The following is a 17,260-nucleotide window of genomic DNA, read 5'->3' as shown; positions in this document are numbered from 1 at the left end:
GCCAGATTAAGAAAGTGAAAGTTTTTCTTTTTTCTTTTTTCTAGAAATATGCAAGGACCCAGAAAGCTTTGAAAATCTAATTTAGAGCCATTTAGACTCCAGGACTTACAGCCCTTATTTAATTAACATTTATGGAACACCTGTTATGGGGAGGGTACTGTGGAAGGATAAAAAGATGGTTAAGATGCAATTCCCACCCTCAAGAAATTTTTCAGTCCCGCAGGGCAACAGTCTGGTGGGACAGCTGGGAGCAGCAGGGCGAGAATATGCCCAGGTGAGCTTGAAGAGATCTGGTCTCCAAATCTTTTCTGGCCCTGCGTCGACTCACTGAGAAACACTGGTTCAGTCCTGTCGCTGCTGAAGGGCTTGGTTTTGTCAGCTATAAAATCAAAATTAAGAGTCATTGTCCTACCACCTTCCCTGGGACTGCTACCAGGGAAGCAAACGAGATGCCGGGTAAGAAAGCCTCCTGACTAAAGCATAAGATGGTCCTATTAACACTGTGAGATCCTCAACTCCTACAACTCTTTAAAACAGCTGCAAAAGGGCTTTTATTGTTACTTATGGATGTCCTTGTCTTCATAGAATGTTTTTGAATGTAAGACAGTCGAGCACCGTGAGGAAGAGAATAAATGACATCTTCCCTGTGACTATTTTCCCTCCTGAATAGGTGACGGTGTGCATAATGGTTTCTGTCTTTGGCCATCACCTTTTCTTTTATGAAAATGCCTTTTATTTTAAGAGTAAAGGAATTTACAAATCATCGACTTTGGTCCCTGGAGAAACTTCAACAAGGTGGTTTGAGGAAGAAATTTTTGTGTCATTTTCTTCTAAATGTCTCTTTCTGAACACTAAAAGGACTCAGTTCAAGGACATAACAGTGAAGTATTGACTGTTTACACAACTCAAAAATGGTTTGAAATCGTGGGGAAAATAAGACTTATTAATTCAGTGTTTTATTGAAATTCTCCAAACATTCTATTTCACCTTACTGAAATCTACAAGTTCAGCTTTTTTTCTTTGAGAATTTTTTTTTAATAAAAATGTAGGATTTGGCTACATTAAAGCAACTCAATTTCAACCTTTGTTTTCAACTTTTAGCTTCTGTGTTCATTCCTTGATTTGTTTATTCTCGATTTGAGCTGATCAGCAGATACAGTAACATAAAAGGAAAACAGGCCAGATCTTTAGTTGTCTTCCAGGGCATTCTAAGCCCCAGACTTCAACTTCCATATCTCCCCACATGGCCCCCACACTATAACACACAAAGTTCCCCACTTCCACTACCACCACCCACCCCTGGGCATCAAATATGACACGCGTTTTGCCCACCTCTGTGCATTCGTTTGTCTTACCTCCTTGGGTTGCAAATACCCTTTCCTACCACATTCATCTGTCAAATCCTATTGCATATCAAAGGTCAGCACAAATGCCTCCCCAATCTGGTCTTCCCAGATTACTCCAAATTGACATCAATGTTCGCTAATCTGTGTTCCCATCACTCTTTCTTTGCAATTCTCCCATCAGCTATTGCATTCTGCCCAGTTTAAACTATTTCTTTATATGCTTAGCGGAGAGTCATGCTGGAAACCGAACCTGTGTTTGTTTTTTACCGAGTTAGCAAGAGGGGTCCTGGTGATTATCCCTGCGCATTCTTTGGAAGGTGACTCATCCCTGTGATAGAGAAGGCTTTCCTTCAAGTGAAGGGAAGCCATTGTTTTGTGTTTCTGGTGGCTAGGAACACCTTTGAGGAAAGGAGTTTATTTAAGGGAGGCAGGAAGTGGGTGGAGTGACTGGTGAGAAACGCTGGCATTTCTCGGGTTGAAAGGCAGCATCCATGAGCCTGGCAGGGGGCTGACTCCTGAACCTTCCTGGCACAGCTCCCCAAGGTGAGGAGGAGGACTGTATAGAACCCAAATGGCTGGGCACTGAGGGCTGTCGTCTAGAAACCCAATGAGAACAGGGGATAATTTAGGAAGTGGAATCAGCTGGGACTTACCTGCCTGAAAAAAGCCACTATGCCCATTCAACAGTGGCACCGTGTGGCAGTGAGGGACAACGGCAGGGGCAGGGGCAGCCCAAGGACAGACCCGGTCTCTTACCTGTTTGCAGGAGGGATCACAAGGATCTCCTTTATTAGAGGGGTTTTATTCACTTTATTTATATAGTTATTTATTATTTTTAGAGACAGGATCTCACTGTTACCTAGGCTGGAGGGCAGTGGTGCAATTATAGCTCATTGCAGCCTACAACTCCTGGGCTCAAACGAGCCTCCAGCCTTAGCCTCCCCAGTAGCTAGGACTATAGGCATGTGCTGCCACAGACCTATTTTTTTTTTAATTTTGTAGAGACAGGATCTCACTGTGTTACCCAGGCTGATGTCAAACTCCTGGCCTCAAGTGATCCTCCTGCCTCAGCCTCCCAAAGCACTGGGACTACAGGCATGAGCCACTGCACCCAGCCTTGGAGGAGTTTTCTTTAGATGGTTCTGAGGATGGAGCAAGAGAGCCGTAAGATGGTGATATTGGACTTCTGACAAAGTTAGTGGGTAGGGAAAGAGACAGGAGAGGATTTTAATTTAATTGGAGAAATTAACTAATTATGGAAAAGTCTTAAATCCCCTACTAAGTTGCAAGCTCCTAGAGGACAGAGACCATTTTCATCTTAGTGCCTTGGATGCAAACAAAGCACTGACTTGACTATATTAAATATAAGTATTTTTACTTTGCATATATTTGAGGACTAAATAAATGAGACCATAGACTCCGGAAGGATGGGATGATTGATTTAACCACTTTCAGCATGGGCTATCCCCAAATGTTGTTTACTTATCTTTGAAAGCAATTGTTTTGCTTCTTCTTGGATGGACACCCACACATGCATATATACATACATATATACATATATACACACATATATACACATACATATATACACACATGCTTGGTCAAAGACCAGCCAGTTGGTCTACAAAGATATTGTCCATGATCCTCTAGGATTTAAACTTTGCTGAATTTTGTGATGTTTACTAGGACATAATTTTCTGCTTCTGAAGACGTTGCCTGCTAAGTCATCCCCACCCTACTAAGGTCCGCAAAGGTCCCCAAACAGTAACCCAGTTCAACTGACTCGGGTTCTGGCCAAGTTAGAGTCCCTGATTCTTGGCACCTGCCATTCCCCACTTTATTCTGCATCAGACTCAATAGCATTCTCTTCTTCTTTATAAGCTACAGTGATACGTTCAGCTCATGAATATACACTTCCACATCCTTTCAGAGAGTTAATTTTCACCCAGGGTGGCAAAGTTTTAAGTCAAAATTTCCTCCCTTACTCTGCATTTTGTACACTTATACCTCCTTAACTGATGGCCTCAATCGTGAGCAAAACTATTTTCAAGTAGATGAGAGAAGTGGGGCTTGAAATATAGAATATATCGTCATCTCCTCTTTCATGATAAATAGCTGTTATGGTCATTTATTGTTCCCATGTTCCAAAATCTAAAACTGCTTTACAGATGTTCTGCAGCCCAGCTTCCTAACATCTGTGTGGGGAAGGCAGGGCGCAGAGTTACCAGGTCCATTTTGCAGATGAGAATAGTTATGGGAGGCCCAAGGGGCATGGACTTGACATTTTTAGGACGTTGTGATTATACTTTATTAGCCTTTTCTCATAACATACTGGAGCAGCAGGCAAACAGCATGTGTCAATGTCCAGCACAAGGTCATTCCATGAAGTCAGTAAGAGCTAGAAACAGAACCCAAGATTTGGGGACTTTCTATCTCAAGTTGCATTTGCTATTTTCCTAAGTTAAAGAGGTAGGCATAGAATCACAAATACATACAGATACACCCAGAAACAAGAATACTTAGGAACCCACAGAGGTATATGTTAATACAAGGCAACAGAGTAATTTGCTTTACTTTCAAAAGCAAAGCAGCTCATTCTGCCTTTCTGGTCTCTTTTGTGACAATTGACCTCAATCCAGTGGGCCACCCTAAAGACATGGTCCCTCCACAGGGACTATTTGTCTTCTGGGCTCCTCGAGTCTCTAATGAATATAAAGTAGGACTGTACTTTTTCTGCATGTCATTGGAGTCTATCCAAATAGGAATCAGGGAAAAAAAAGTAATAGAACATTACGCTGGGATTTCCATATCAACACTTCAGAGATAGTTAGATGTTCTCTCAATTTTTTTCCTAAATGAAGTCTAATACCTCGAGGTATTTCCCGAGTTGCATTGTCTATTGTCTATATAAGCACTGGGTACTTCAAAGGCCAGGTTTGGGTTGCGCTGTGCAGCTGGTTGGAAAACTGCATTAACCTACGTCCCAAGGTGAAAACAGCAAAGCTCCCTGGAAACATGTGGGAAAATGCCCCATTTCTAATTATTTTCCCCTTCCTTCTTTGGTACTTGGCACTCGGCACTCATACTGCACACCAACTTGAGAAGCATTTCCAGGGAATCGTGCCTACCTCCACTCACCCCACATCATTTAAAACCCACCCAGGCTGGGACAGCTCTGCAGAGCTGGCCAAGACTCTCTGGTATCCACAGGTCAGAGGGAGAGGGCCCAGCTGCAGCTTTGAGAAATTGCCCCAGTACTTTATGGCTGTCTTATTCGAGATGTCCTATCCATCTTCGGCAGGGTGATAAACTCAAGCACCAGGTTTGGGACCCTACTGTCTAATCATCAGTGACGGTTTGGAATTTAAGGAGCTGTTTAATCCCCTTAGACACCTGCAATCAGGTTACCCCATAATCTGATGAGAAGCGTTCCTTTAGCTGTGTTTCACCTGACATGAAAATACCAATATACTCTTCCACTCAGGAATCCTGCTTCTCATCTAGGACTAAGGCTGTTCAATGCAACCATGCTGAAGAGTACCATGTTTTCAGCCAGGCGTTGTGGCTCACACCTGTAATCCCAGCACTTTGGGAGGCTGAGGTGGAGAGATTGTTTGAGGCCAGGACTTTGAGACCAGCCTGGGCAACATGGCAAGAACTTATCGCTACAAAAAGAAAGAAAGAAAGAAAGAAAGAAAGAAAGAAAGAAAGAAAGAAAGAAAGAAAGAAAGAAAGAAAGAAAGAAAGAAAGAAAGAAAGAAAGAAAGAAAGAAAGAAAGAAAGAAAGAAAGAAAGAAAGAAAGAAAGAAAGAAAGAAAGAAAGAAAGAAAGAAAGAAAGAAAGAAAGAAAGAAAGAAAGAAAGAAAGAAAGAAAGAAAGAAAGAAAGAGAGAAGGAGAGAGAGAGAGAGAGAGAGAGAGAAAGAAAGAGAGAGAGAGAGAGAGAGAGAGAAAGAAAGAAAGAAAGAAAGAAAGAAAGAAAGAAAGAAAGAAAGAAAGAAAGAAAGAAAAGAACATCATGTTTTAAAAGGAGATTGAGGCCAGGTGCAATGGCTCACACCTGTAACCTCAGCACTTTGGGAGGTCTCTACAAAAAATACAAAAATTAACAGGGGGTGATGCCATGCACCTCTAGTCCCAGCTACTTGGGAGGCTGAGGCAGGAGAATCGCTTGAACCCAGGAGGTTGAAGCTGCAGTGAGCCGTGTTCATGCTACTGCACTCCAGCCTGGGCCACAAAGTGAGACCCTGTCTCAAAAAAGGGAAAAAGGAGGCTGGGCACGGTGACTCACACCTGTAATCCCAGAACTTTGGAAGGCCGAGGAGGGTGGATCACCTGAGGTCAAGAGTTTGAGACCAGCCTGGCCAATATGGGAAAAACCTGTCTCTACTAACAATACAAAAATTAGCCAGGTGTGGAGGCAGGCGCTTGTAATGCCAGCTACTCAGGAGGCTGAGACATGAGAATCCCTTGAACCTGGGAAGTGAAGATTGCAGTGAGTCGAGATCGTGCCACTGCACTCTAGCCTGGGCGACAGAGCAAGACTCTGTCTCAAAAGAAAAGAAAAGAGAAGAGAAGAGAAGAAAAGAGAAGAGAAGAGAAAAGAGTAGACCGAAATGCAAAGTAACTCAGGAAATGATACACATCTAGGTATAATTTGGCTCTTTTTTCACTTCCTTAACCAATCTTGGTGATTTAATTTAGCCTTAATCTATCTTCTTCGGTTATCATTAAAATGCTTTTTCCTAACTCACCTTAAAACATTCTCTTCTAATTCAATCTTTTCTGGGAAAGAAATGTATCAAGCCTGTTTGGGATGAGAGCCCTGTCTGGTGCACGTCCTCCACTGTCAGAGCTGATCTCTGCTGCCCCAGGTCCCCTCTTCACCTGGCCAGGCTGCTGGAGAAGGGCTGGTTTAATTGGTAGTCAGGAAAGGCATCACCATCCCTGCCAGCAGAGCTGCCATGTCCTACCAGGGAGGACGCAGAAAGCCACCACCTTGCCCATATTTGACATTATCAAAGTCTTCCCTCTTTTTTATAATCAAAAGGAAAGATTTTTCTGCTCTCAGATTGAACAGGTTTTCTAAGAGAAGCCAACAGTGGTTTCATCATCACACCCTGAAGCAAACATTTCAGAAAAGTTTCCTCTTGCCCTTTGTTGGTTGCAAAACAAACACCAGAGGTCAATTGCTGCTTTCTCTGGCAACCTTAACATACAGATGCTCTTGGCCAGCACTTACCCTCATGCTTCAGATGAGGTGGAGACCTTCTCCTGCCAGGGATCCTGCGAGCCCAGTCCTTGACACCATGGCAGGATTTTAAAGTTTCTATGTTACTTTAATAAAAAGCAGCAGCTTAATAAATCTATCCTTCTGCCAGGGAGAAAAATTTACTTTGTGTCTCTCAGAAAGAAGCCCTATTTCAAGTTTATAATGGGAACCTAGGAATGTTCTAGTAGGTCAGCACCATCGAAGTCTCCATCCCCACCACCCCCACACACTGCTCCCCATCTTGCCCATTTAGTGTGGGCTTGTGGAAGCAGAGAGGGACACATAAGGAATGTTCTAGGCCAGGCACAGTGGCTCACACCTGTAATCACAGCACTTTTGGAGGCCGAGGCAGGTGGATCACCTGATGTCAGGAGTTCGAGACCAGCCTGGCCAACATGGCAAAACCCCATCTCTACTAAGAATATAAAAAATTAGCCAGGCATAGTGGTGCATGCCTGTAGTCCCAGCTTCTCAGGAGGCTGAGGCATGAGAATCACTTGGACCTGGGAGGTGAAGGTTCCAGTGAGCCAAGATTACACCACTGCACCCCAGCCTGGGTGACAGAGTGAGACTCTGTCTCAAAAAAAAAAAAGAAAGAAAAAGAAATGTTCTAGGTTATAAGAAAAAATATGGCCACCAGAAAACTCCAACTTTCATATGACATAAATAATAGAGACATAAAATTATTTTGCCAAAATTTCATCATACAAAAGCTATTTAGCACCCTGGTAAAATCGTGGTGAGGAAAGTGTCCAGGTGGTCTCACTGTGTTGTCTGGTATTCTATTAGAAAATAAGGATTGACTGGAGTCCTTTGTAAAAATAGATTAAAATGGACACCAAAAAACATGGGACTTCGTAGGGTCTGTAATAAAATTGCTATTGATTCTGTCTGACAAACGGTTAAGAGAAAAAATGTTGGCAGATGCAGTGGCTCACGCCTATAATCCCAGCACTTTGGGAGGTTGAGGCAGGAGGGTCACTTGAGACCAGGAGTTCAGTATCAGCCTGGGCAACATAGCGAGACCCCGTCTCTGCAAAAAATTAACAAATTAGCCAAGTAGTGGCGTGTCCCTGTAACCCCAGCTACATGGGAGTCTGAGGCAGAAGGATCACTTGAGCTCAGGAGTTGGGAGCTGCAGTGAGCTATGACTACACCACTGAACTTCAGCCTGGGTAACACAGTGAAGAAAAAAAAAAATAATAAATAAATAAATAAATAAATATATATATATATATATATATATATATATATATATACCCCTCTGATTAGAAAAGGCAAAGCACCCAGCTCTGTTTTCTGCCTCACCCCACAGTTGCCAGGCTGAGTAGAAAGCTGTGGACAAAAGTGGGTGGCCATGGAGAGCTGAACCTTGGCTTTAGGAGTCTCTGACAGGAGATCTGCCTCTTCTCAAAGGGAAAAACTGCCTGTAGAACAAGGCCCAATTCTCCCTGAGGTACCTAGGCATCTTCCCAGCGGGCTGAAGATGCCCCACTCTTCAGGTGTGGTCCTGTATCTAAGGTCTCGCCAGAAATGACCTGACAGAAGATGGAAGCTCTGTGAGACAGGGAGGGAAAGAACCGCAGTGGGAGCACCAGGATCAAATCCCAAGACCCACAGCTTTCCAGAAGTCAGTCCATTGCTCATCCCAATCATGGAAGGGCTCACATGCAAAAAACATGCACAATTTACATACCTCTCACCAAAGAGCAGTGACTCCAGAGCAGACACCTGCAAAGCAAGAGTATCTTTTTTGGGGGTACTTCCCTTTATCTAAAGGAATGCAAAAATGCCTCCTTCTACCTCCTGTCTTCCCAATCCTTTCTGTTTCATTCTCCTTTTTTTCCTTTCTTCTTTCAGTCTTCTTCCAACTCCCCTCTAAGATTTGAGCTTCAGAAAACAGGAGAGGATTCTGATAAGGTTTGGGAAGAAAACTCTTCCAATTTCTGGTCCTGGCCGTGGAGCCCGAAGGATTTTTGAGGCATTAAGTAATTGACCTCTCACCACCTCCGAGTGTTAAGGGACACGTGCTACTGTTATCTCCCATTTTATAGTCAGCACAACAGAGGCAAACCGAGGTTTAGAGACTTGCCCCACATACCAGGGTCAATAAACAAGCAAGAAACACATGCTCCCTTCTGTACTCACTACTCACTTCCAATAGCCTCATTTATTGTCAAATGCATGCTTGTTTGGTTAGTTTTAATCCCCATGCTATTAACATGGGAGCCTGGAACATGTTGGCTTCTTAACAGCTCCCAGAACCACAATCATTTAGGTTGGAAAGTAAACAGAATCTTATCCGTATGAGGGTAGATGGGAGGTCAGTGGAAAGGGAGGCTGCTGCTGTGGACGGCCAACAAGGCGGGCTGGCTGCACCAGCTCTCACTGATCAGGCCGCACAACTCAGTGTGGGGCTCTGGTCTGAGATGTGCTCACTGATCTTTCCATTGTCTCCATTGTCCGGATCAGCTCCAGGTACCAGTGATAGCAGATCCAGGAACCAGGTATCAGATCCTAAGGCTGTATCTGATCATTTTTGCCATTGGACAAACTCCCCTAAGCCTCTCCTTAAATACCTATCTCCTATAATCCAAATTTTGGCTAATGCTAATGTCTAATTCAGAAAATACTGCAGCCAAAAGAAGATAAGATTTGGAGTCAGGCTGCTCTGTCCTCCTCTTGCTGCAGCTTTGCAGCCAATGGGCAAGTCACAGGACTCTCTAGGACTCCCTTCCCTGTCTGTCCTGGGGACAGATGACACCCAGCACCAGGGAGTGCTTGCTGGGATAAGGTCTAGAAAGCATATTCTGATGCCTACCATACGTCAGCACGGGATAGGGACTGAAGTTCCTTTTATCCCCATTTAGTTAAATAATTAAGAGTGCAGGCCAGACACGGTGGCTCACGCCTGTAATCCCAGCACTTTGGGAGGCTGAGGCGAGCAGATCACCTGAGGTCAGGAGTTTGAGACCAGCCTGGCCAACACGGTGAAACCTTGTCTCTACTAAAAATAGAAAAATTAGCCAGGTATGGTGGTGGGCGCCTGTAGCACCAGCTACTTGGGAGGCTGAGGCAGGAGAATCACCTGAACCCAGGAGGTGGAGGTTGCAGTGAGCCAAGATCTCGCTACTGCACTCCAGCCTCGGGGATGACAAGAGCAAAACTCGGTCTCAAAAAAAAAAAGTGCAAATTTGATGATTTCATTAGTTTTATCCAATGTCACTGTTACTTTATTCTGTACCTGTCATTAACCACTGAGAAACAGTATTCTGCAGAAAAATAAAATTACAAAAAAGGAAGGAAGGAAAGAGGGAGAGAAAAAGGAATGAAGGAAGGAAGGGAAGAAGGAAGGGAGGGAGGGAGAAAAGGAAGGAAAGAGAGAAAGAAGGAAGGAAAGGAAGAGAAGGGACTGAAGAGGAAGCAAGGGAAGGGAAGAGAGAAAGAGGGAAGAGGAGGAGAAGAAGAGGAGGAAAGCAGACAGGTAGCTGCCAACAAGTGCTGTCTCCAGCAGCACTGCATTGCTAGAAATGGGTAGGGGGTGAGAGAATCTGGACTGAAATCTTGTTTGCTAACACATGCTACCTTGGCGACCCTGGACAAGTTACTTAACCTCTCTCCAACTTTCTTACCTCTTAAATATGCTTATAATAAGAAAGCCTAGCTCATGAGATTATTTTGAGGATTCAATGTAATCATAGCCCTGAAGGTGTCTAGCATGGTATCTGGCACTTGACAAACACAAAACAAGAAAAAAAGAAAAGAAAATGCTGATTGAATTTACTTGTCAATTCTAAGACATTCACAGAAACCATCCTAGGGAGGGTAACTCAGTTTCCACACCCGAAATAATCAGAACAGCCTTCCAAGCTCAGAGTGTACAGTGTGGTGTGTCCTAGAGGGACAAGAGAACTTCACTGTATAGTTACAATATTAAGTTGTTCTTATTAAAATAAGCTTGCCTGACTGCATGGGGACAGAAAGAAATTCAATCCATCTACAGTGGGGCAAGAAGCAATCATTCTGTTCCTCAGCACACAACAATAAATAATTCAGCGAGAAGGACACACTAGTATCCTTCCAATTTTTCTTCTTCTAGTCATGAATCCTGTTTATGTTTTCTGGAACCATAAATGGAATATAATTTTACAAACTGAGGGAGAAACGAAGCATGCTAGAAATGTAGGGACATTCTGACATATGTTTCCCTATCACCAGTCCTTGGTGACATTTTCCTTGATTTGAACTCCTTTAGCATTGGGTTTACAATCTGTATGACACTGTTAGTGACTGGAGTATCAGACACCTTGGAGGGATTTCTCTTTTCACTTCAAAGTTGTTCTCTCAGCAATAATAAGAGTTAATGTTTATCGTGCACTCACTCTGTGCGAGGCATCATTTTATCATTTAATTTTCACAAAGGTCCTCTATGTTGTCCTTTAAGTAAGTAACGACTGGGGCCCAGAAAGGTTAAGTAGCTTGTCCAGTGTCACACTGTTAATAGGTGGCACAGCTAAGATTTGAACCTGACACATACTCTTCATGAGTCATGGTGCATATTACCAGGATGTAAGTTTCTTGAGGGCCAAGGGCTCATCTTCCTCCAAATTTGCTTTCCCCTACCTCCTAGAAAAACTCCTGAGAATTAGGAGAGGTTTGAACAGATGATTGGTAAACTGAATTCAATAAAGGCATTCACAGGCTTCCACTAGAAGACTTCAGCATCCATCCTTTACCCTTGAAGACCACCACATGCAACCACACTGACCATGCCCTGCACAACCCCAGGGGTACCTTTCACAGAGACTACAATACCAAGGGACTACAATACTAAGCCAGGCCATTTGCCTCTTGCCAACCCAAATCCATATCATTTCCCAAGCCCTTTTCAGTGCACGGCAGCCCAGACTTACTCCATGCCAAATAGAAACAGTCAGACTCCTGGAAATAAGTAAGCAGCCAAGTTGTATATTTCAATGTCCAGTGCCTAGAAGACGTTTAGGGAACATGTGATATAATAGAAAAGGAAAAGGGAAGTACTGTCTATTTCTCATTTTCTACAGTAGAAAATGAGTTTGGAGTGTGATAGGAAATGTTTATAGCCTATGCTTTCTCCTGTCATCAAAAATAAACTCTGTGCTGATCAAGAACACGGGATCATAGATCAACTTTTATTCAGGTCACACTTATCTAAATAGGTCATCATCCTTGGCACCAGTACAAGTGAGAGCTTTAAATGGGGATGGCAACTACACAACCTACATTGGTCTGCAGTGATCTGCCAGCACCATTGCAGCAGAGAGACGTAGGAAAAGTAGGTGCAGTTGGATGAGATCATGTTGCACCTGTGGTCAGAGCCTCCTTGGAATAACACAATTCTGTGGATCAAGATGAACCCAAGAGTGGGACCGTCAGATTGTAGGCAGTACCCACAGATTCATATGGTAGGAAAAGTATCATGTCGGTTTCCTTCTAATCATTCTGATTAAATCAATGAGAGAATCAGCCTTTGCAACCTCTCCACCATTTGCTAATCATCCTTTTTAACAAAAAGAGGGCATGACTCAACATTAGAGCCTTCAGCAAACAAGTGAATCTAGATAGAATTTAATAACACTGTTTGCATGTTTTAATCATTACCTTCCCTGTTGGCCAATGATATTGGTTTTCCATTTACAGTAATCATATAAAGTTTTAAAACAAATGTATTCAAGTTTAAGAAACCAATTAGGTGATCTAAAGAAAAAAACATAACATTGAGTACAGTCTGGATATGGCTATGGCAAAATTTGTGAAAGTGACAAATTAATGAATAAAGATTGGACATCAGCCTGGTGCAGTGGCTCATGCCTGTAATCTCAGCATTGTGGGAGGCTGAGGCGGGTGGATTGCCTGAGCTCAGGAGTTTGAGACCAGTTTGGGCAACATGGCGAAACCCCATCACTACTAAAATAAAAAAGTTAGCCAGGCGTGTTGGTACACACCTGTAATCCCAGCTACTGGGGAGGCTGAGGCACAAGAACTGCTTGAGCCTGGGAGGTAGAGGTTGCAATGAGCCGAGATCGCTCTACTGCACTCTGACCTGGGTGACAGAGCAAGACTCCATCTCCAAAAAATAATAAACAAATAAAGATTGGGCACCACAGCTAATGTGAAGATGGACAGAAGTTAATACAGGTGACCCAAGTTGCTCGAGAGAGTGGAGGAGGAGGTAGTCAGGGAAGCTAGAGAGAAAGCTTAAAGAATTAGTGAAGGAAACAAATATCCTTGTCCTCCCAAAACTAAAATGTGGATGCCTGGGGTCTGAGCTCCTGGCCAAGTGATTGCAGGAGGGAAAAACCACAGAACATGGGTGCTACCTGCAACCCCCACAGGGGGACAGTAGCCTCCAATGCCCAAAGAGATGGCAAGGAAATGGGGGCAAGACGAAATGTCTGGATAAACATAAAAACACCAAGCCTGGCTTTCAGACAAGCACTGTGTGAAGGCAATAAACACATAGAGGAAAAGCCCTGGGGCACTGTGGAGAGAGCACTGAATTGGGAGTCGAGATACCTAGTTTTAGTTCCAACTCTGCTGTCTCTGCATGGCCCAAAACAAAGACTCTTTCTTGCCTTCAATTTCCTCACCTGTAACACACCCTTTCCTGGGACTACATTCTTTGCCTCTATATTCTTTAATAAGTACATTAGCGCAATTTCCAATTTGGTATTATGCGGATACAATTTAAAGGAGACAATATATTTGCTGCAAGAATACCAACCTCCCCCTGATGCAAGTGTGCACACACACATGCACACACACACAAATTGCATTTAGAATTATAATCATTTGACTGTTAATATAATCACCAGCAAATGTTGGTCATAAATATTAAGTGCTAACGGGGTCAGATTCCCTGGTGGATGTTGAGGAATGTGCCTGGTGGGTGGTGGAGGGGAGCTACTTTTCCAGAGAAGTACGAGGGAATTAACCACCAGTCTGTACCTCCGTGGCCTTGCAAACAACACCAACACTCTCTTTCTGTCTAACTCTACAACTGGAATTTGCCCAGCCTTTTGGGAAACGTACTTCGACTTTGAATGTTGGAAATTGTCTGTGGTACAAATCACAGCTCTTCTCTCTTGAGAATTAACAAAGCAAAAAGGCAAAGAGTGGATTTTCGTCTTGGTAAACTGAGGTTCAGAGATTGTTTTTATGGGACTCACCCAGAAAAAGGTCTCCCTCTCTTTATTGCCCACTGAAGGGCTATTGCATAGCCAGAGATGTTGAAATGGCACACTGAAAAGGGAGCAACATAAACATAAAATCAAACTACTGCAAATATCTACTGAGCATCTACTATCATTTGTGCACAGAAGGATAAAACATGGTTCCTGTCTGAAGATGCCTGTGATCTAGCTAGAGTAAAGGCCAATACACATAGAACAAAGAAGGGAGAAGACAGCATACAATTGAGCACAAAAGTAGGTGATTTCCATTTAAGACAACCTTCACTTGCAAGGCTTCACCCAATCCATTCTACACCACAAGTAGAGCCACTTTCCAAGACACAAACCTAATTATGCCACTTGCATGCTTGAAACATTTCAACAGCTTCACCTCCAGATAAAGTCCACATTCCTTACAATGGTGTTAAAGGCCACTTGGGACTGGGCCTCCGCTTACCGCTAGGGTCTCGTGTCTTACCAATCTCCTTCCTCCTGGTCCTCTATGTGTCCTGGGAAGTTTATACCATGTCCTGCAGAACTGAAATGCGTCTTTTCCCAGCATGCCTCTTCCTCTCTCTCATGTCTATTCATGTACTTCCCTCTGCGTGGAATATTTGCACACAGCCTGGCAGGCTGACTACTGCCTATCCTTCAAGTCTTAGCTTAAACATCACCCATCAGGACCTCTCTCCCTGTTCCCACAACTTCCTATCCTCCTATATTATAGCATTTAATATACCATAGTATAAGTATTTATTTAACTGATTGCTGCCACCATTACACTTTAAAATCCATGAGGTTGCCGGGTGCAGTGGCTCACGCCTGTAATCCCAGCACTTTGGGAGGCCAAGGCAGGAGGATTGCTTAAGCCTAGGAGTTCAAGACCAGCCTGGGCAATATGGCGAGACCCCATCTCTACAAAAAATATACAAATTAGCCAGGTGTGCTGGTGCATACCTGTAGTCCCAGCTACTCAGGAGGCTTAAAGGGGAGGATCACTTGAGCCCAGGAGGTCAAGACTGCAGTGAGCTGTGATCATGCCACTGCACTCCAGCAGGGTGAAAGAGCAAGACCCTGTCTCTAAATAACAACAACAATAACAATAATAATAATAATAATAACAATAACATTCATGAGGTCAGGAACTGTGATTGTCTTAATTCACATGATATTCCCCCCTCCAGCACAATGCACATTGTAAGCGTCCCTTCACTATGTTTGGATGAATGAACATATGTCGTGGATAGTTAGAGAAAATGAAGATTGATAAGAACCGGAGTGTAAAAGAAAGGAAGACTGCATGAAGGAGGTGCTCTTGATTGGAACCTTTAAGGGTAAGGACGATTTCACAAAAGGGAAGACGCAGATTAAATTATGCTCAATAGCAGAGGTAAAATACTTTGACTTCCATCCAACACATGGAGGCCATTCAAACAAACGGTAAGTAAATTGGTGAATAAATTAATGAATGAATACAAAATAAATAAGTGAATGGCTTTCTTGATGAAAGGCATAACAAGTAACATGAATGAAAGGCATTTTTTCTGAAAATGTAACTAGCTCCCTTTATCCATAGTCCCAAACACGTGGTCATTGAGTATGCATGGGAGTGGGGTGGGGGAGTTACTGACAGGTCACACGAAACCAGCACATTTCCACATCTCTCGTCATTTCCAGTGTCCTCCAACCCTCCCTTCACCTGGATGTTTTGTTATTATTTTTAAGGTGTCCAGGAATCTAGAAAAACCTTTTCCCAGTTGCTTTCAGCTTTATATATGTTCAGTGAGGTTTTTTTTTCCCCACAGTTCTCATCTGAACACAAAAAGAAAGACACTCTTTCTACTGAAAATATATCCAGAACTGAGTGGACTGACAGGTATTCAAAGCCAATCTCAAAAACATTTTTCAGATGTCATCATTTCTGAGCTTGACCTTCTTTTCAAATGCTCTGGATTATCCTGGAATTTTTTATTTCATTTGCAATTCTCCTGACTAGAAGTCCTGATTAATAGGGGACACGGAGCCCTGTTTGGAAAAATTCAATACATTATGCTCTAGTCTAATATATCCTCAGCAACTCTTGCAAACCCACATTGCAGCATTCACGTTGACTCTCTCCTCAGGGGCTTGAGGGGCCAGGGAGGGGAGAAGTGAAGAGAAAGAAACCAGCTTCTTGGCTGCTTCTCAACAATAGCTCCAGCTTCCTAGCCCCTCAAAAAAAAAAAATCTTTTACATAGTTGTTCTAACCAAGAAAGTATGCATAGCTTCCTGACAGATTGGATAATGTGGAGATTTGAGAAAAGTGTGCAATTTCCCTTATTTTCATTTTACCCCCAAATGCTTTGGGTGCAAGTATAACTTCCACCCACATATAATAGTAGTTTCAATGTCCTAAACTGAAGATTGGGAACAGGGAGCAGTCTTTGAGCAAAGGTATTTACTTAGGCAGGAAAAAACATCAAAATGATACCCAAGCCTGTTTGGGGCTGCCCTTTTGATTGGCGCTCAATTTGATTCCAATCTCTCTCAGCAGAGCACCAGCTGACCCTGATCTTTGCTGAGATTAGATATTAGCAGACAACACAAGGAAACCTTCCAACTTGCAAGTTGGAGAATCCAAAGGAGCCTGAATCCCAGCTCACAGTTGCCAAGAAACTCTATATGATGCAGGTGCAAATCATTTTTTCTTCCTCTTTTAAATGCAGTCTCATTAAAATATGTATTTTGCAAGGGGATTAAATTCAAACATCTGGGAAAGGGGGAAAAAATCCACAACTCCGAAATATTTTTAACTTGGTTTCGGATTTTGATTGTTTCGTTTCTTTTAAGTTGGGGAAAAGAGGCTGCTTGTCGGTGGGATGACAGAAAGGGGCAGGGAGAGAGTTGGAAAATTACTTCGAAGGGCCCCAGACTTCATCAGCAGCCATAATTGTGGGAAAGTAACCTGAAGATGCCAAACAACAGGAAATTATCAGAAGAATCTGTCAGCACAATCAACTGCTATTTTCATTGTTCTTTGGCAAATTTATACACAGTCGGGAACACCTGGGCTGGCCTGAAGCCCAGGTTTGACTAATTGCCAGGGGAGAGGAGTCGTCATTTGTCTTCGGAGGGATTTCCTCCATTCGCTCCTCAAAACATGTGGTTTCACTTTTCCCCTCTCTCCGCAGGAAATGGCAGGACAGTGAGACGCAAAATAAATGAGTTCACTTCCAAGAGGTTGCCTCCTAAGAGGCCACTCCAAAAATAACTGTCTTGTGAGAGGTTGTTAATAACCAAGATTCTATATACTGTCCTCAGAAAACAACGTTTCAAAGGCACAATGATTTCCACCCCCAGCCCCTTCCCTTCCAAGCACAGTGCACATTAAAAATAAAAGCCATGGGAGCCGAGAGAAGTAATCAAGTCCTGTCTTCTGGAGGTAGGGAATGT

The 17,260-nt window shown here is 43.2% G+C and overlaps 1 annotated feature.

The window, feature by feature from the left end:
* Window positions 823–1,746: an enhancer, noted in NCBI's record as "OCT4-NANOG-H3K27ac hESC enhancer chr8:25457409-25458332 (GRCh37/hg19 assembly coordinates)". NCBI's record gives its function as "activates a minimal SCP1, AML or CMV promoter by ChIP-STARR-seq in primed H9 embryonic stem cells {active_cell/tissue: H9 hESC(primed)}" and the evidence as "EXISTENCE:reporter gene assay evidence [ECO:0000049][PMID:30033119]".

Source organism: Homo sapiens, chromosome 8 (assembly GCF_000001405.40).
Source record: "Homo sapiens chromosome 8, GRCh38.p14 Primary Assembly".
NCBI classification, from domain to species: Eukaryota; Metazoa; Chordata; class Mammalia; order Primates; family Hominidae; genus Homo; species Homo sapiens.
Note: the sequence above shows the minus strand (reverse complement) of the source record. Positions and strands in the feature narration are given on the sequence as shown.